Below are 20,554 nucleotides of genomic sequence, written 5' to 3'. Positions count from 1 at the left end.
TTATTTGTGCTTAGTATAGGTTCCTGCCTTTAAATATCTTAGTTATGTGAGCAATATTAAATTTCTCACTTGGTGGAAAGAATACTTGAACTTCTGTTACTTGCAATAAATAGCACAAAGGTTTGGGGACTTGGCTGGATCTCAAAAGTAGTTCAGGATGTCAGTTACTGCCTCTTGATTCCTCAAATTCTTTTACATAATAATAAGCATTAAATTTGATAACTCTGGGAGGATAATAACGTGAATTATTTCAATAATGCCATCAAAGTAGGGTATCCTCCAAATGAGTACACTTTTAAAAGGGAAAAGTAACCTTAATAAAAATTGCTTCGGAACAATAGGCACAAACCAAAACTATCCAAGGGAAAGTAAAATGTATGGTCAATCACTTTGGCACTTAGGCCTTTTGTTTTTCACTCAGCATATGGAGATAAAACTTTTTCTATTATGTGATTGTTATTAAGATCCAATGATATGCTGACTATGAACAAAGTTGAAAACCAAAGTGTCCCATGTTACTTTTTGTTTTGCTGGGATCCGATTTTAATAAAAAGCAAGAAACAGAAACAAAAATAGAGAATACATCATGAAAAGTGGCAGAGAGAGACTGTAAACACTGAGAATGAACTTTTATTTTCTTCAAGGTATCAGTAGTCTGTTTTGAAGACAATGAAAGTGTGTTGCAGGAGAGTATTGGCACAGCTTCTGAATCTTTGTAATAATGACATTTTATAATCATTTCCCTCTGGGAAATTGATCATCAGACAGTAGGCATCCTGCCCACTTTACTACCCAAAGTAAACTCTGGACCATCAATGATTCATATAAAATTATGTCTTCTACCTATGGAAATATAAGAAAAGCTTGCTTTTTAATTAGTTTTTATTTTCTTATCTAAAGACAGACTGGTGTGGATGGGGCAGGAAGGGGGTCAGAGAATTTGGAACCGAGTCACTGTTCTGGCACTAATTACCTTTGTGAAACAACTTTGTAATCCTTGGTTTCTCAAGTGTGGTTTCCTACAATGAAAGGGTCAGGAAACCGCAGTAGAGGCATAAGAACAGATATTCTGTTGTCAAACCAAACGTATTTCAACATTTGGCTCCATCAGTTACCTGGGAGCATCATTTATAATCTCTAAACCTGTTTCCTCATCTGTGAAATGAGGATAGCAATAAAAGTTAACTTCTAAATTTAAGTATTCAATGAGATATTACTTATAATGCATATGATACGTACATAATAACTTTGTTTTTAAGCTCTTCAGGCCCTTTCCACCCATCACATTGTATTGTTCAATTTTATTGCAACATAAGTCAGTCTGAAGCTAAAGCAAATGATCATTGGGTAGTTTTGATGTATTCTTCATGTGACTATCAACCTAACAGTTACCAACTCTAGCTTCCTGACCTAAGAGAGGTGACTTATTTCTTGTTTGCTACCTTGAAGACATGTTTTGCTGCTAATTTTTGATGTGCAGATTCGTGACTCAGCATACCTACATAGCTTTGGAATAGATCTAGTTAAATATCTAAACTTAAAACAGATATCCAGACAGAAACCACCTGTTCCATATTTTCTCTATCTCTTAATTCTATTCAAATTGAAATTTTCAGTAGAAATGGATTCAGTTGCGAAATTCACTCATTTACTATTTCCAAGAAAATTAATTAATTCAGTTTATGCTTATACAATATTAACAACTTTTAACTGAAAACAATCCTCAATTTTTTAATGAAGTTGTTGCTTTTCTAGAAATAAAGGGATTTTATGTTAAATCAGACTCATCAGCAGTTTCTTAAAACTGTCATTTTAGTATGGACATATGATTAGTGATTATCGCATCTCCATTCTAAATTTTTAAAATTACATGAAATCCAGTGCAAATATAATGACTCAAAATCATTAGACATGTGTAAAATTAGCGTAATGCAGGCTATTTGGATACTTTGTTTCTGTATTCCTCACCTATACAGCTTTATCGATTCAACATTGATTCAGTAGCTATTATGTCACTCAGAGCTGTGAGTGTATGATTTATCCCTAGTATATAGGACTTATTTTAAAGGGAGAAAGAAGAAAAAACAAACCAGTAAGAATTATGAGATTTTTTTCCTTATTCGTCTAAGCTTGCTGTACACAGCACACTCGACAATTTGTAATTCATTTTTTTATTGAAGAATTTTTATAGCATTTAAAATCGGAGGGACAAACACTAAATTATGATTTAAAAATAAAATAAAAATTTAAAACAACGTGCCTCACAGTCTAGAAGAAAGGTTATTTAAATGGACTCTACCTAAAATTATTTTTTAAAATTCATATTAAAAACAAAAAATTCTGAAACTTTGCAAAATAAGTCATACCAAAGAAGACCCTCAAACACTCAGTTTGGTTCCTTTGATGCTTTAAGGCCCTTTTAAAATTTATTCTTATAAATATATACGTTTGTAATGTAGTATATAGATTGTGGAAAACAATTTTCACCTATATCCATTAGCTTATGAATTATTTGACACCTAACCCAAAACTCATATAGACCTAAGAAAAATAGAAATACTGTCACCAGCTTAGAAAACCAAAAGCATCAAAATAATAAAGAAAAACTATCTGAGAAGACACCATAAAGAGTGGGGCTACTGTCACAAAGAACAGATGCTGATAAAAAGCTTAATCAAAAGCTGACAAAGGCATCACAATAACAGTGTAAATATGATTATATGCATGCCATGGCTGTGCAAAGATTTAAAAGTTGAGAGAATTGGCTTTGGAATTATTGAAGGTAGCCTAGCATGAGGAAGACCACCAACTTAGGAATTATGAGACTAGAATTTCATGTCTAAGGTTAGGCCTAAATTGGAGTTTAAGCTAAGCTACTCATTTAATGTAGCTTGGCCCAGAATCCACACCCATCATACAGTGAGTTGCACTTGGCATCAGACAAGCAAGTTGCATCTGTCCTGAGCGAAAAGGAGAAGCCTCAGCGGTAGATAAAGGTTGGTATGGGAAAGGATCCACTGCTTTGATCAGATTTTAAGGAGTCTATGATTCCTAAATGCTTAAGAATGACTTGATTAATTTTTTTCATTCCTGATATTAGAAATATTAATCCTATGTGAAAAGTTCATAATAACTAAACAATTTTCAATCTTTTAGCCATACTATGCAGTAAACTCTTTATGATAAATAAACTGCGCCATAAAGAAAAAGCAAGAATGTCTGAAAGTCATTGAAAACCTATGTGAGTAATGTAAAGGCAATGTGCCATTTCAGAATCAATTGCTTTGTGCTGTTCTATGAAATAGTCTAGTTCAGTAAATTTGATGTTTTCATAATTAACTGAAAACAGAAACAGAAAACTAATGTTTGGTAAATGTTATGATTTTATTATTCATTGCAGCCATTGAATTTTATTATTCACTGCAGCCATTGATCTTATTAGTTTAAAATACATAAATAATAGGCATCCCATGATAGTCCCAAAAGATGTTTAGTGGAGTTTCAGTTTGCAGTTACATCTCATCAGGAGGCTGACCTAGATTCCTAAAGGTCTTAGAGGGTTTAAACAAATCTGTGCTCACCAGAATTGCGGGAGTCTCTGTGGCACTGTCATCATTTCATTCGTTCTCATGGGACTCTTTGAACCTTGGTTTTCTTTAGGAGACATTTGACTAATTGGATGAGGCTCTAAATTCATTGGTGCTTATCCAAAACATTACTCAATCCTGCAAAATTATTTCTAAGCAACCACCCACTAGGAAACAAAAATCTGTCATTTTTCTAATTTGTATATAGAATTGATATTGCATCATTTTCAGCTAGAGCTTTCAGATAGCACCTGTTACTCTCATAACTTCAAAATGTACTCGCTTTTTTCGTATTACTTACAGGACTACATAAATTATAGAACCCCTTGCTGCCTGAGGTGACAAGCAAAGGAAAGGATTTTATCACTATTACTATTTCACCCTTTGCTTTTCATATATCCTTGACCACTAAAAGGTGCTATTCTTTTACAGAAGATAGCATGAAATATATATTCCTTCAACTGGATGAAATTTGCCTTTTGTGAAAAGTCATCTATATGAGATGCATTTCATGAGATATTAGAGTGTAATTTTTAGTTACTGTTTATTGCCCTATTATTTTTCAACTACATTTTAACAGGTACATTAATTATTGCTTGATTGATATTTTAGTATATCTGTCTTACACACAGTAAAGAAACTTGCTTTTTCCTTTGAACTTTTTTTCATGTCACCCATATAATTACACACATTATTCCCTGATCACCATATGTGTTCTGCTCACTTTGAAGGAAATCTTATAAGTGCCATAGCCACAGTTTGGATTTGGAGACACCGCTCCCCTTTCCCTCAGCTGCTCTACTTAAGAGCAGAGGTGGTTTAGGTACAGTCTTTCCAGGCCTTTATCATTTATCAGTTACTCACATGTCTTACATTGTGCCAAGACCAATTATGAAACATGTTCTCCAGCCAAAAACCCTGGTGTGCAGAAATAATCTCCGACTATGAATTGCTGCATTAGCGCTTTAAGAACTGTAGAGGTGACTTATTTCATTTCAACAGTAAAAGCATTTTTAATACAGGCTGTGTTCTCCCAGAGTATTGAGAAAAGTACTGGAAGAGAAAAAGTCAAGCAAGGGGGAAATAAAGCATGAAAATACTGCTTTAGGAAGTTATGATCCCAGTACAGTTTTTACTAAAATGCTTTCCTTCACATGACAATACTCTTTTATTGGAAGCAAAGATGTAGGCTCCTCACTGGTTAAAAGCTGACCTTGTTAATATGTCATTCAAGGTCCTCCAGGAAATGTCTTGACCAAATCCCAAGGCTTTATTGTCTTTTGAAATTTCATGTCATAAATCTTGATGTGCACTCTCTGCTGATGGGTGACCAACCATATGTCTTGGTTTAGTGGAAGAATGAACACTAATTCTATGCAGCTCCTCCAACAATGCATTTTGAACCTTTCACATATTCTTTTATCTTTTCCTAAAATCTTGAAAATCCCCATTCTGCCTAGTCTGCATGTAAACACAACCACCTTTCAAGATTCAGCACAAATATCACCTCCTTGAAGAAGATATTTTTACCTCATTAGAACTCACCATCATGAGGACAGCAGCAGGCCAAGACAGACCTGCTGGCCTGACCCAGACACTTCCCACCAGGCCTCACCTCCAACATTGGAATTACAATTCAACATGGGCTTTGTCAGGAACATATATTCAAACTATGTCAGCGGAAAAGTTCAATATTCATTATATAAGTTTTCACTTTGCCCTGTCTTCCACGTGGTCTTTAATGAGACTTTAAGACAACCCTCTTTTATCCAACACTTATAGAGATCCTGGATGTTACCAATTCCAGGGCCTTTTGGGGACGGTACAATTAACTCAGGATTCAGCTTTCTTAGACCTGTGAAGTCAGTCAATCCCTACTTCTGCTTTGCAGTTCCAAGATGTCACTGACCTTGTCCCATCTCCAGCTATGTCCTTGTCAATATATATCATATAAAAAGCTCTTTTCTCTCACTTTAGTGAGTTATCAGGACGAAAGTGTTCCTTTGATACCTCACCTTTATCAAGAAATCTTACTGTAAAATCCACAATAAGCCCATAACGTTTGCAAATAAGTTTGGGGACCTAAATCCATGACATTATAGCAATGTGCCTGAGAAAGGCAGCACGGCTACAACCATGCATTTCCCAGTGCTCCAAAAAAAAAAAAAAAGAAAAGAAAAGAAGTGATAACCTCTAACATGTGGATGTCAGTCTTCAACTGAAACTTTTAAATATGTATTTATTTGAATAGTTTCTTAGAAGGCTTAATAAATACAGATATTTAGGGTTCTTTCTTCCAGCAAGAGTAAGCATATTAGATTGGGAAAAGCTTGAGTTACAGGAAGCTTGTCAAATCCTGTACCCTACAGTATTACTCTCTTGAAAATTGAAATACCAGCTCTTAGTTCCACTTTTATTTCTTATAAAATGGAAGAGCATATATTCATAAACCTGAAATACAAAGTGCTATACAATGTATAAAAGGCTGACAGTGCATTTAAATGGGTTTTGAATAGTTTTCATTTAGTGCAAACAGAAACTTCTGTGAGGTACATTTGTCAGATGTTTTGGTCAATATCATTGCTTTGAAGTTATGGTTTATCTTCTGAAATATTATGCTGATAGAACTTGTAACCACAAGAAAGCAAACATAAAACCAGATTTCAGGTATGTGAACTTAAAACTCTAGTCATTTCAGAAAAATAGTAATATCAATGAAAAATAACTACAATTTTTTTTGTGCACCAGTCATGTAAGATACTTGTTTAAACTTTTTCATTTTCACTTGATTGCCCTGTGTTGGTACAAGCAGCATAGCTAGCTTGTAGACAAAATCTAGACAAAACTCTAGACAAAAATATGCTGATATTTCAAATTACATTTCTTTTCCTTCTTTACTATGTGTCATCATCACTAGTAACATTCTGAATACAGAAAGTAAATTACTGAATATAATTTTTAACTATGATTTTGTGGTGAGATCTATACAGTATATTTATGAAATACTAAAAATAATTAAAAGGTAACTATATTATATATTCCCTTGCAATTGCAAAAGTTGGTTTTAATTGCAAAGTTGGAAATCTCACAGTAAAATACTTGTCATTTGCATTGATGATATCTAATATTAGTGAAGATAAAACGGCAATACAAAGGTTCTATGTGTTACCATAGGAATTTATAAATAACATTTTCCATGGGATTCCTTTTTCTTGCATGTCAATCACATAGTGCTTTGTAATTTATCAACTTATCTAAGCTGGAATCACAGTCCCAAAGAATTTTCTTTCCTTTATGTTCTGAGTTGACTAAAAATACAATTGTTGAGATTTAGAGAGATTTAGAAAGATCAAACAAATTTTACTATCAGTATGTCATCATGATCAGTGACAGCAATTGTCAGATGCAGACCATGATGAATTTCATCTTCTTCTCACTGTCCCATGGGCCACATCACTCTTTTTTTTCCCAACTGTCAGCCTTGATAGAAAAAGTGACCCCAGGCCCACCAACAAATGCAGAGGCAACAGTCTTCCATGGACTTCACCACTTCTCCTTTATGTTTCCACTATGGGAATTCAACGTTCCTGGCTTTGGGAACAAAAGTTAGTTGACTTTTGTCTGATCTTCAAATTCTATCTTCTGACACACTTGCTTTTCCCACAAGCGTAGGCTTTATTCTTTCAATAACTTAATTTTTCCATTGTACTTATGTCTTAGGTTGTTCGGGCTGCTATAAAAATACCTTAGGCTTGGCAATTTATAAACAGTAGAAATTTATTCCCATGATTCCGGAGCCTGGGAAGCCAAAGATCAAGGTGCCAACAGATTCAGTGTCTGGTGAAAGCTCTTGGTTCACAGAAGATGACTTCTTGCTGTGTCCTCACATGGTAGAAGGGTCAAGCAACCTCCTGTGGGCCTCTTTCATAAGGACACTAGTCTCATTCATGAGGGCTCTGCCCTCACGACCTAATCACCTCCTAAAAGCCCCACCTTTAATATTACTGCACACGGATTAGATTTCAACAAATAAATTTTGTGTGGCCACAAACCTTCAGACCATAGCAACTCATAATAATTATATTTCCGTAATGGAACCCTAACAAATAGATTTTTTTTAAAAACAGTAAAAACTGTGTTTTATTCTAGGTGGGAAATGTAATACATATTAACAAGTTGCATCTGTAAATATTACAGAAAAAATGTTTTGGTAAAGTTTGTAATTTATAGTGAGTGTAAGGCTCTTTAAAATTTTGAAATAGCACACATGCTGACCCTATTTTTTTAATTGTCGATTAGAAAATTTTATGTTGATTTGTCCTTTATTTGCTTCTTGCGGTTTTGCTACTAAATGATCATCTTTGTTATTAGTTTTTAATTTGTTATGCTATGGCTAATGTACACAGCCAGACATAAATATTCCCTTAAAAATTGTTCTATATTTACTTCATATTACTAAGACAATTTTGGATGAACAAGATGCCAGCTTGTTGAAATTGTAGAATTCAAAAATAAATTACATGCGTGCAAGATATTATGTTGCTAAAAGATCTTCTATAACCTTTGCTAGTTAGCTTGCCATACGAGCAGTCATCAACTGTTTCCTTGACATTATCCCTAATTAATATGACAATTATGTGGTTTGCCTCTATTTTTCCCTTCTCTTGCACCTAATTTCTTTCAGATTCTGATATAACTATGACTTTTTTTGAACTCTTGACCTCCACCACCCTTGTTTCTGGTAATGCTTGAAGAACTATTCCTGCTTTATGCTGCATCATTTTATTGAGTTATTTTCGTAGTTTCTACATGTCTAAAGTAATTATGTCTCCCATGATTCATAAAAATTTGCATTGAAATATAGTTCCATACAATGAGAAGAGCATTTGCTAAAAATTTTTTAGTTTTCTTCAGCTACAAATTTAAAGAACTATATTAACCACATAAGTTAAAGCATTTAAATTTAATATCATAAATATTTTGTAAAATGATTTTCATACATGAATAAAAAGTCATTACTTTTAATATATGATATATCAAACTAAGCCAGATCAGTGCTTTATAAATTTCATTTGCTGTAGAGTGGTAGAGGGAAACAGCCCACCAAAAGAAGTTGTACCTCATTGAAGACAGAGACCATCTTAAGTTTTTGTTTTTAGAGAAAAGTCAATCTTTTAGCTATAATTGAAAAGTTACCAATTTTTATACTAATTTTACTGTTATCGCTTTTCAGTGGACAGGCCTAGTAAATATATGCATGTGTACCTATATTTGCAGACAATAGGCAAATTCTAGATGCACCACTTCCAACCCCTACCTCTTGGCATTCATGCCTTTGTGTAACTATCTCCCCTTGAATGTAGATAGACTTGTGACTTGCTTCTAATTAACATAATATGGTAAAGGTGATGGGAAGTCAGTTACTCCAACGATTGTGTGATGTTATATAAGCCTCCATCTTGCTAGCAGATTTTCCTTCTACTGGCCTTGAAGAAGCAAGCTGCCATGTTGTGAACTGCCAATGAAAAGTACACATGACAGGAAACTCCAGGCGGGCTCTAGGAGTTAAAAACAACTACTGTCAAAAGCCAGTAAAAAACTAAAGCTCTCAGTTCTACCATGACAAAGAAGTAAATTCTGACAACAATCTAATGGGATAGGAAGCAGATTATTCTCTAGTTAAACCACCAGATAAGAATGCTTCCAGCCAATCAGGTAAGATCATAAAGCAAAGACCCAGCCTAGGCGTTCCTGGACTACTGACCCACAGAAACTTGAGATAGTAAATGTGTATTGTTTTAAACATTTATCATAAGCTGTCATACAGCAATAGAGAACGAATATACTTCCATATACACATTTCTACATCCATCCATGGGTTCTTACTGATAACCTGAATTCCAATCCTACAAGACAGATGATTCTAGGCTTCTTCCTTTCCTTATTTGTAATTTTTTATTTGTATTTCTTTTTGCCTACAGTGAGAAATCCAAGTTTCGTTAACCATAGTATATTTACTTACAAATTTATATACACACTGAGAAGTTTCAGAATGTCTATCTTATAAATCACATAAAATGTAAATGTACAACTATGGTATAATATTTGCATATAGTTATTTTTATCTTTATAAGAAAATGTTTGATGTTTTAAGGCTAAAGTTTACTAAGTTCATTTCTTCCTCACCTTGTTCACTGTGGTTATGTTAGTTTACTTGTAACAATCTTAGGATCATTTTTTATGTTTTGAGTTCTATTTACCTTACACTCTGGTTGATATAAATTACTTACATATGTTTTGAATATGTGAAACATTATATAGCTCTAAGAGTTAAAGCTGAACAAGGAGGTTTACGTCACTCCCTCATTATTCCTACTAGTCATTCCCATGTCCCCATTTTTGTACCCCCTTCCCAAGTACTTTCTACTAGTAATTCATCTCATTAGTTTCTGGAGTAGTCCTGTATTTCTGTTGCACAAATGAGTAGTCACAAGGGTATTGTCATGTATTTATTTGTTTCCAGTCTAACACTGACCATTTTGTACTTTCCTTTTAATTTAAACTTAGCATACTATGAAGTTTATTCCACCTCAGTTCAGACATATTTTCGTTATTATTTTTTTGAGACAGAGTCTCACTCTGTCACCCAGGCTGGAGTGCAGTGGCACGATCTCGGCTCACTGTAACCTCCACCTCCAGGGGTTCAATCGATTCTCCTGCCTCAGCCTCCCCAAGTAGCTGGGATTACAGGTACCCATCACCACACCTGGCTAATTTTTGTATTTTTAGTAGAGACAGGGATTTGCCATGTTGGCCAGGCTGGTCTCCAACTCCTGACCTCAGGTGATCCACCACCTAGACCTCCCAAAGTGATGAGATTACAGGCGTGAGCCACCGCATCCGCTCTATCATTCTTTTTTATAGCTGTAAAGTAATCCACTGTGTAGATCTAGCATAGTTTAATCATCTATTTTATGTATGAGTGCCTAGGTTGTTTTCATTGTTGTGGATTAAACAATACTGCAATAAATATCTATGTGCATAAGTATCCTTGTATTGTTAAAAATGTATTCTCAGGGGGGTACTTTCCTAGAAGTAAGATTACTAAGCTAAAAGGTTATGTGCATACATAGATATTTTTAGGTACTATCAAATTCTTCTCCAGATGTATGGTGCCTGTTTTCTATCAGATAATTTGGAAAATACCTACTTCCCTACAGCCTCACCAGTAGAATGTGTTGTCATACATTCTTGCAGTCTGATTAGGAGAGAAATTGTGTATATGTATGATTTTAATCTGTATTTATCTAATTATGAATAAATTGGAGTTTTAAAAATAAGATTGGGGTATTTTCATAAACTTGTTGAGAATTATCTTATGTGTTTTTCCTATTCAGTTTTTGTTCCTTTGTACTTCATCCATCAAATTATAAGATATATGTGTAAATACAGATACATACACACTAATGTTAGCCCATAGTCTTAACTATATGTTGCAAACATTTCCTTTCACTTTGACAGGTATTTTTTTGCCTTTTAGCCTAATTTTTTGTTATGCAAAGTTTGTGTCACTATATGTTGCGGGAAGTCAGGGATCCCAAACGAAGGGACCGGCTGAAGCCACGGCAGAAGAACATAAATTGTGAAGATTTCATGGACATTTATCATTTCCCCTATCAATATTCTTATAATTTCCTATGCCTGTCTTTATTTTAATCTCTTAATCCCGTCATCTTCATAAGCTGAGGATGTATGTTGCCTCAGGACCCTGTGATGATTGTGTTAACTGCACAAACTGTAAAACATGTGTGTTTGAACAATATGAAATCTGGGCATCCTAAAAAAGAACAGGATAACAGTGATTTTCAGGGAACAAGGGAGATAACCATAAGGTCTGACTGCCTGCAGGGCCGGGCAGAACAGAGTCATATTTCTCTTCTTGCAGAAAGCAAATAGGAGAAATATCACTGAATTCTTTTCCCAGCAAGGAATAACCCTGGGAAAGGAATGCATTCCCAGGGGGCGGTCTCTGAAATGGCCGCTCTGGGAGTGTCTGTCTAATGCAGTTGAATTTAAGGGATGAAATACACCTTGGTCTCCTGTAGTGCCCTCAGGCTTGCTAGGATTAGGAAATTCCAGCCTGGAGTATTCTAGTCAGACCAGTTGTCTGCTCTTGAACCCTGTTTCCTGTTAAGATGTTTATCAATGACAACACATGCCCAGCGAGACATGGAACCTCATCAGTGATTCTGATTTTGCCCTGGCCTTGTGATCTTTTATTGCCCTTTGAAGCATGTGATCTTTGTGACTTGCCCCCTGTTCGTATCCCCCTGCCCTTTTGAAATCCCTAATAGAAACATGCTGGTTTTGCAGCTCAAGGGGCATCACAGAACCTGCTGACATGTGATGTCACCCCCAGAGGCCCAGCTGTAAAATTTCTCTTTGTACTCTTTCTCTTTATTTCTCAGACTGGCCGACACTTAGGGAAAATAGAAAAGAACCTACACTGAAATATTGGGAGCTGGTTCCCCCGATAACTATATGTGGTCAAATTTATCAATCGTATGTTTGTGATTTGGGAGTTAAAATAAGTAAGGCTTTATAAAACATTGAGATTACAAATAAATTCACTTCTTTCCCTCCTAGAGCTGATGATTTTGTATATTTGATTTAGTTAACTAACATATTAAGTATTTATTATTGTGTATGTGTTGAGGAGAGAAGCTCGGTTTATCTTTTACTGAAAGGTTATCCAGTTGCTCCAGCACCATCTTACAGTTTATTCTTGCCACCATATCTTGAGATACTAAGTTTATCATATACAATCATGTGTCACTTAACAACAAATACATTCTGAAAAAAAAGTATCATCATTAGGCAATTTCATGATTATGTGAAGATCATAGAGGGTACATACACAAATCTAGATGGTATAGCCTACTATACATCTAGACTATATGTATAGCCTACTACACATCTGGACTATATATATAGCCCATTGCTCCTATGCTACAAACCTATACAGTGTGTTACTGTACTAAATACTGTAGGCAACTGTAACACAACAGTATTTTTATATCTAAACATAGGTAAACATTGAAAGAGCACTGAGAAAATGCATTATATATGAGATTAAAATAGTACACTGTATAAGGCACTTACCATGAATGGAACTTGCAGGATTGGAAGTTGCTCTGAGTGATTCAGTGAATGAGTGGTTAGTGAATGTCAAGGCCTAGGACCTTATTGTGTACTACTGTAGACTTCATAAACACTGTACACTTAGGCCACACTAGATTTATTTTAAAAATTTCTTTCATCAATAGCAAATTAAACATTGCTATCTGTAGCTTCTTTGTATTATAAACTTTAATTTTTAACTTCTTGACTATTTTGTAATAGCATAGCTTAAAATACAGGTACATTATACAAGTGTACATAAATATTTTGTATCTTTATTCTATAAGAATTTTTAATGTTTCAGACTTTTTTGTTAGACATTAAGCCCCAAACACACACATTAGCCTAGGTATACACAGGTCAGGATCATCAACATCACTGTCTTCCCCCTCCACATCTTGTCCCACTGTGGAGGGCCAATAACATACATGGAGCTGCCATCTCTTATAATAATGAAGCCTTCTTCTGGGAAGACTTGCTCGAGGCTGTTTTATAGTTTATTTTTTTTTAATAAGTAGAAAGAGTACACTCTAAAATAATAAGAAATAATAGTACTGTATAGTAAATACATGAACTAGTAACATAATTGTTTAATATTATTATCAAGTACTATGTATTAGATACATAATTGAATGTGCTGTACTTTTATAGGAGTGGCAGCACAAAAGGTTTGTTTCCACCTGCATAACCACAAACACATGAGTAATGTGTTACAATGCAACCGTTGGCTATAACATCACTAGGCAAGAGGAATTTCTCTCAACTCTATTATAAACTTACAGGACAACCATCATATATACAGTTCATCATTGACCAAAATGTTTTTATGTGGTGCATGACTGTATTCAATTCCCATATGTATAGTGGGTCTAAGTGATGGCTTTCTGTTTTATTCCAGTGTTTTGTCTGTTCATGGACCAGTACAACAATGTTTTCATTACAGAGGTTTTATGATATACTGTAATGTCCAGTATGGCTAATCTTTCTATGTAGTTTGTATTTTTCTGTGTTTTCTAGACTATCTGTGCATGTCTGATTTTCTATATAAACTTTTAATTTGTCTAACTTTATAAAAATCCATGTGTGTATTAATTGGGATTATATTACATTTATAAACAACCTTGAGAAAAACTTAAAGTTTGTAATGTTGATTTTTCCTGTCTAAGAACAGAGAATGTCTTTCTATTTGTTATCAAAAGTCTTTAAAGTTATTTCCTTCTTTAAATTTTGAAAATTTCTTATTAACTGCAAAATAGGTAATCTGTTTTTTTTGCTATTGGCAATTGTTATTATATGTGTAAATGAGGGCTAATAATTTTGTTATTTCATTACTGGCTCACTTACTTTATTCTTTTATTGTTAAATCTAGTTTTATCATTTTATTGTTGCTTTTCTAGAGTTTTCCAAGCATACTATTACATTACTTGTAAAGATAGATGGTGTTAACTCTTTAGCTGTTATGCTTCTAATTAATTTATCTTATCTAATTATATTGGTTCATACCTCCATTAAAATTTTAAATAGTAATAGAGTATGAACATTTTTGCCTTGCTCCTGACATTAGGGGAAATGTCTCAAACCTCTACTGTATTTCCCCAATAATTAAGATTAAGGTATATGAGTGTGCATGTGTGTGTTGAATGTGAATACATACACATATACATGTAATTTTATATTTTGTGTGTGTGTGTATATATATGTATCTCTTAGTCCTAAAGCAAGTATTTCAATTATTATAATATATATCATCTCTTAACTCCTATTTAGTAAGTTGAATGTTTTTGTGAGAAGTAGGTATTGAATTCAGCACTTACAGAGGTAATTGTATTAAAGCTTACTTTAATTCTATTAATATCATATATGATATTCATTGAGATCCTAATATCAAGCCAACCTTAAATTCTAATAATAAATACTACTTGGTCAGGATATAGTCTATTCTTGATATGCTATTGAATTCTGTCTAATATTTTATTTAATATCTTAAATTGATGTACATGAATGGTAATGGTTATAGGTTTTTGTACTGTTTTATCAGATTTAAATGTAATGTTATACTTATTACCAGAATGGGAAGTATTATTTTTTACATTTTATAGAATAACTTGTTGGTCATTGAAATGAGTTAATGTTTTAAAAATTGGTAGAATTTCCATGTGAAATCATTATAGTCCTGGTAGATTTATTATTATTATTATTGGTAGAGTAATTCCCTAATTTTCCCTTTTGATATTTAAAAAATGTCATCTTTGGATGGTTGTTTCCCTTCCTCAGAGCTTTGAGCACAAGTTCTTTGGGGATAAGGAAGACCTAAGGAGGAATCTGTGTTGTTTCACTATTACACTGAATAATTACTGTTAGATTTAATTATATCCAATGTATTTTGCCATCTCTACAGACAAGTTTATCCTTTAAGTAAATACAGCATAGCCTTCTTCATACATGCTTAGACCATGAATTTTCCTACTTGTCAGAGTTTAGGTTACTAAGTCTCTCAAAGTGTCTGTTCTTAACTTTATTCTCAGAGGTTGTCGCATATAGTCAGTGCATGACTTTCTCCTGTAGAAGTATGAGCATAAATAACTGAAAAATGATGTAGTATAAAACATCTAGTTCTCAACTTAAACAAAATAAAAATATTGAAAATATATATTTACAGTTTTACCAACCAGCAGTATGTTATGTTATCCATTTTTTAAATCTCAAAAACCTCTCTTAAGTTCAAATTGAAAATAAAAGCACCTTATAGATTTGGGCTCCATCTGTGGCATAGAAAGAATATGTTATATTTTTCAAAAGCTGCATTTTCTTCCTACCTGAAAGTATTTCTGCAAGAGTATCAATCATTCAGGATATTATTTTATTCCACTGGTTTGGCGGGGAGGAAACTAAGATGATTTGTTTATACCTCTTCATTTACAAGTTGATATTGTCAAGCAAATACTAACTTATCTGAGGAAAACAAAATGCAGTAATAATGGGTAGAGTCAGTTGGATTATTTACATGGTCCAATAGTAAGAGAATATATGAGAAGATTTTTAAAATGTACTAATGCTCCTATAACCTGGAACTCCTATGCTCAATCCTCCCACCTCAACCTCTCGAGTAGCTAGGACTACAGGCAGAGGCCACCATGCCCAGTTAACACCTTCCCTATGATCCTAGGACTCTTGAGAAATCCCTTCTAGTTCCTCAGAAACATGTTATGTAGTAGATGAGGATTTCTCACTCTTTTAAGCCAGTTACTTCTCTTGATAAAGACAAAATCTCAAGCAATCTCTTGTAATCATTTGAAATCCTAACTTAATATATATTAAAACTAAAAATAAATGTAACAGGAAAGAAATGTTAATTTGCTTTCCACACATAGCTTTCTGCTATGAGTCCCTGAAGCAGTGTGCCTCAATCCTGAGCTGCTGTTGTCTTACTTTATTCACACAATCAGAGAGAAAAAATTGTTTTGGAATGGGAAGAGCTACAAAAATCGAAAGAGAGGAGGTAGGTGCAAGGTAGGCTCATAATTTCAAACCAGAGGCGTAACTAGAATAGTGTATTTATGTATCCATAGAAGAAGTGATGCTGGGCTGGCCATGGTGGCTCATGCCTGTAATCCCAGCACTTTGAGAGGCCAAGGCGGGAGGATCACTTGAGGTCAGGAGACAATTCTGGCCAACATGGGGAAACCCGATGTCTACTAAAAATACAAAAATTAGCTGGGTGTTGTGGCATGCATCTGTAGTCCTAGCTACTCTGGAGGCTAAGGCAGGAGAATCGCTTGAACCCAGGAGGTGGAGGTTGCAGTGAGCCAAGATCGCACCACTGCACTCTAGCCTGGGCCACAAAGTGAGATTTAATCTCAGAAAAAAAAAAAAAAAAAAGAGGAGGAGGAGGAGGAGGAGGGGAGGGAGGAGGAGGAAGAATACTGAAAAGCAAACAGACTTCCCACCCTCACAGCAAGATTAGACCAAGATTAGTGAGAGAGCATTGTGATGCCTTTTGTTAAAAAGCATAAGTCATTAGCATTCCTAATTCTTCAGGAACTTTCATTAGAGCACCTTAAATAAATGAAAACTGCTATCCAAAGCCCACAAGTCTCTATCCAAACCCCAAGAACTTAAAAAGAAGTTAGTTCCTCCTCATCTATTCATCTGCCTGAATTCTATTTTTTCCTAAGATTCTGCCCTCTGAGGAAGCTGTTTTTAGAATTAAAGCATTAATAAAGTGGAGAAAATTAGATGATATGGGAAAGTAGATACAGAGTAGAAGTGTTTATGCAAAAACAAACACTAAAGGATAAATTGAACAAGGTGTAAGGTACTCATTTTATAAACTGTTCCATTGTGTCATGGAAAGTGAATCAGTTCCTCAATGAAGTCAGAGGGAGTTTTTTAGCATTTGGCAAAATTGTTTTAAATTCTGGCTGTGCTATTTAGTAGTTATTGGCAAATTAACCTGTTTGAGCATGAGTTTTCTCATTTTAAGTTCAAGTTAATGCTTATGTTGTAGTTTTGCTGCAATGTTTAAATGAAGTAATGAATTCTGAAGCCAAGACAATGGCTTTACTCTTAAAATTATTATTAACATTCACATGTTTAGCTTATATATAGTTTCTATATTCTGTGACTTGAGAGAATTAAAGACAATTTCAAAGAAACATGGGCAATCTCGAGGTGATACACCACAGAGTACAGAGAGAAAAAAATACCTTTATACTTTTAATACCATTACTCAAATGCAGACACTAAAGGATCCAGATGCAGTTTTGATGCTTCATTAGTATGTAAATAAAGAGAAGCAATTTCAGGAGCAAGAAAATGAGGCTATGTCTTAAGGGCAAAAGCTATAGAGTTGCAAAGGATTCACCCTCCAAAAAAGCAAAGTTATCACTACGCTGTCCATGTCCTGCAACCCACCTGCTCACCTTGGCCAGTTACATAGGCTGCTCTGACTATAAGTACGATAACGATGCTATTACAAAGGATTCATTTGAATCATTGATGTGAGAGGTATTGAATCAAACAGCTTTTCTCAAGAGACCATGAGAAAATTAAATAAGGAGGATTTTGGCCTTGCTGTTTTAATAGCATGCCTTTCTTTATGCAAATGTAAATTATCATATATTTAGAAAATCATCAAATATCATCCACTCCTGCTACCTTCTCTAATTATAGTTCATGGCTTATGTGTAACATGATGCCATTTGAGATACTCTGCTGGTTTTTGCTTCACACTCTCCTAATTAGAACTCCTATACTCATAGGACAGTTCTCTTGGAGCCAAGGCTCATAGCTCATTCATAGGACTTATGGTAAAGCAACGTAAAGCAGCCTATTCTCGTGTTCAAGCTTCTAATGTGTTATAGATCATTATTTCCTTTTGTTCTCATTGTTACCCAGCTTGACCTTCAGCGTTATCTAACATGGTTCTTTATAAATATAAGTGTATATTTGAATCACCTACAGATTCTGATTCATAATGTCTAGTTTGGGTCTAAGACTGTGCATTTCTAACAAGTTCCCACTTAATTTCCAGATAATACTTCAGGTCCAAGGTTCACATTTTGAAAACTAAGCCCCTTCCCTTTGGCTCTTTCTACTCCTAGCTGGCTCATGTAAGCTTTTGCTCCTCTTAGACAGCCACCATTAGACAGCCCCTTATTTTAGGTTTAATGAGAAGAGAGGAGAAGCCAACTCTTGCTCCTTTGTTTCTTTCACCCTTGCAAATTCTACCTGGTTTAGTTTAATATTGTCTTCAAGTCTAGCTAATTTACTTCCAACACCAGTACTAGCATGATATTATTCAAATAAATGAAATTAAATTGAATCAATGAGTTATTAGTTTTCAAATCTAAGAGAAAAGCTAACATTTCCACTTTAATATCTGGTAATATAAGTGGATAGTATGTACAAATAGACAATTTGCAGATATTTCATTAGTGGCATCACATAGTTATTTTCAGAATACATTATGAATGAACATAGCTCCTCAAAATAAAAGGAATATTTTGTTTAATGACTAAATATTAGTCTTTATGATTTAGAAAAATAAATTAAGAAATCCCTCATTACCTTTTACATTTCCAGATAATTCTGATATAGTTGGGGTTTCATGATATAAATTAAGTTCAAATTCAATTTGAAAATCAAAGACAAACTATAGAAAGGAACAAACTGATAAGGCCTATTATAATTCTGGAGTTCTAGGTATCTATAAATGTTGTGAGCCCACAGCTTAGTTGTAAAAAGTTAAATGGCTAAATATTTTAATGACTTCAGGCCTACAATTTAAATACACAAAAAAATCTATAGACATATTCTTAGCAATTATATGGGTATGCATTGTATTAAAATACTCTTGTAGGCAAAATAAACCATTAATTGTGACTCTTTATGTAAAGTCAAAAATCAGTATACTAGTGAGTAAAACATTTTTAAAAAAGGAATGGAATAATACATATGTGAATTATTGTTTGATACTATAAACATTATAAAGATTCTAGCTAATTATTTCTAAAAGGAAACACCAGCAAATAAATTTTACAGAGTAGGTATTTATTTATTTATTTAATTTGGTTATCAGATGAAAAGTAAGTGTAATTTGAAAAAAATATATGATAAGGGTGCAAGCTAATATTGGGAGATCAAGTGACACAATTATTCCTATTTTTTTTACTTGCATGCAGTAATCCTCAATAAATGTCTCTCTAAATGAGCACCTTAAAACTGTCAGTCAAGAAAAATCAAGTTGATTAGACATAATGAATTAAAGCAGAAAGCCAGATTGATTGTGTCTTGTAGTATCAAATAAAGAAAACCAAAATGAGGAAAATATGGAGGAATAAAGGGTCTTAGAGATTAATGGAAGTAGAACTAAGGCATGTCTTGCAAGGTAGGAACCTTATTGTGAGTGGGCAGGATAAATAACAAAATAGCTTTTTATTAATAGGGATAGCGAGATAAGAATCTTGAAAAGAGTATCAGTAAACAAGATGTTAAGAATATTTTTAAGAATATAAATCCCTGGAATGCAAGGCTGGTTCAACATATGCAAATCAATAAATGTAATCTATCACATAAACATAACCAATGACAAAAACCACATGATTATCTCAATAGATGGAGAAAAGGCCTTTGATAAAATTCAACACTGATTCATGCTATAATCTCTCAATAAACTAGGAATTGATGGAACATATCTCAAAACAATAAGAGCTATTTACAACAAACCCATAGCCAATATCATACGGAATGGGCAAAAGCTGGAAGCATTCCCTTTGAAAATCGGAAAAAGACAAGGATGTCCTCTCTCACCACTCCTATTCAACATAGTATTGGAAGTTCTGGCCAGAGCAATCAGGCAAGAGAAAGAAATAAAGAGTATTCAAATAGGAAGAGAGGAAGTCAAATTGTCTCCATTTGCAGACGACATGATTGTATATTTAGAAAACTCCATCATCTCAGCCCCCAAACTCCTTAAGCTGATAAACAATTTCAGCAGTCTCAGGATACAAAATCAATGTGCAACAATCACAAGCATTCCTTTACACCAATAATAGACAAGCAGAGAGACAAATCAAGAGTGAACTCCCATTCACAGTTGCTACAGAGAAAATAAAATACTTAGGAATACAACTTATAAAGGGACATGAAGGACTTCTTCAAGTAGAACTACAAACCACTGCTCAATAAGAGGACACAAACAAATGAAAAACATTCCATGGTCACGGATAAGAAGAATCAATATCACGAAAATGGCCATACTGCCCAGAGTAATTTATAGATTCAAT

The 20,554-nt window shown here is 34.1% G+C and overlaps 1 long non-coding RNA gene across 1 annotated transcript; it reads right to left on the bottom strand.

Annotated features, from left to right (window-relative positions):
• Positions 1–4,460: 4,460 nt before the first annotated feature.
• On the bottom strand, positions 4,461–15,703 carry LOC105378310 (uncharacterized). Its single transcript, XR_945975.1, has 3 exons — positions 15,584–15,703; positions 8,905–9,145; positions 4,461–4,640 (listed from the first exon to the last, which is right to left on the bottom strand). It is a non-coding gene; the product is annotated as an uncharacterized LOC105378310 (long non-coding RNA).
• Between the last annotated feature and the right edge of the window lie 4,851 nt (positions 15,704–20,554).

The sequence above is a fragment of the Homo sapiens genome, chromosome 10 (genome assembly GCF_000001405.40).
Source record: "Homo sapiens chromosome 10, GRCh38.p14 Primary Assembly".
In the NCBI taxonomy this organism is placed as follows: Eukaryota; Metazoa; Chordata; class Mammalia; order Primates; family Hominidae; genus Homo; species Homo sapiens.
This window is presented reverse-complemented; position numbering and strand designations above follow the sequence as displayed.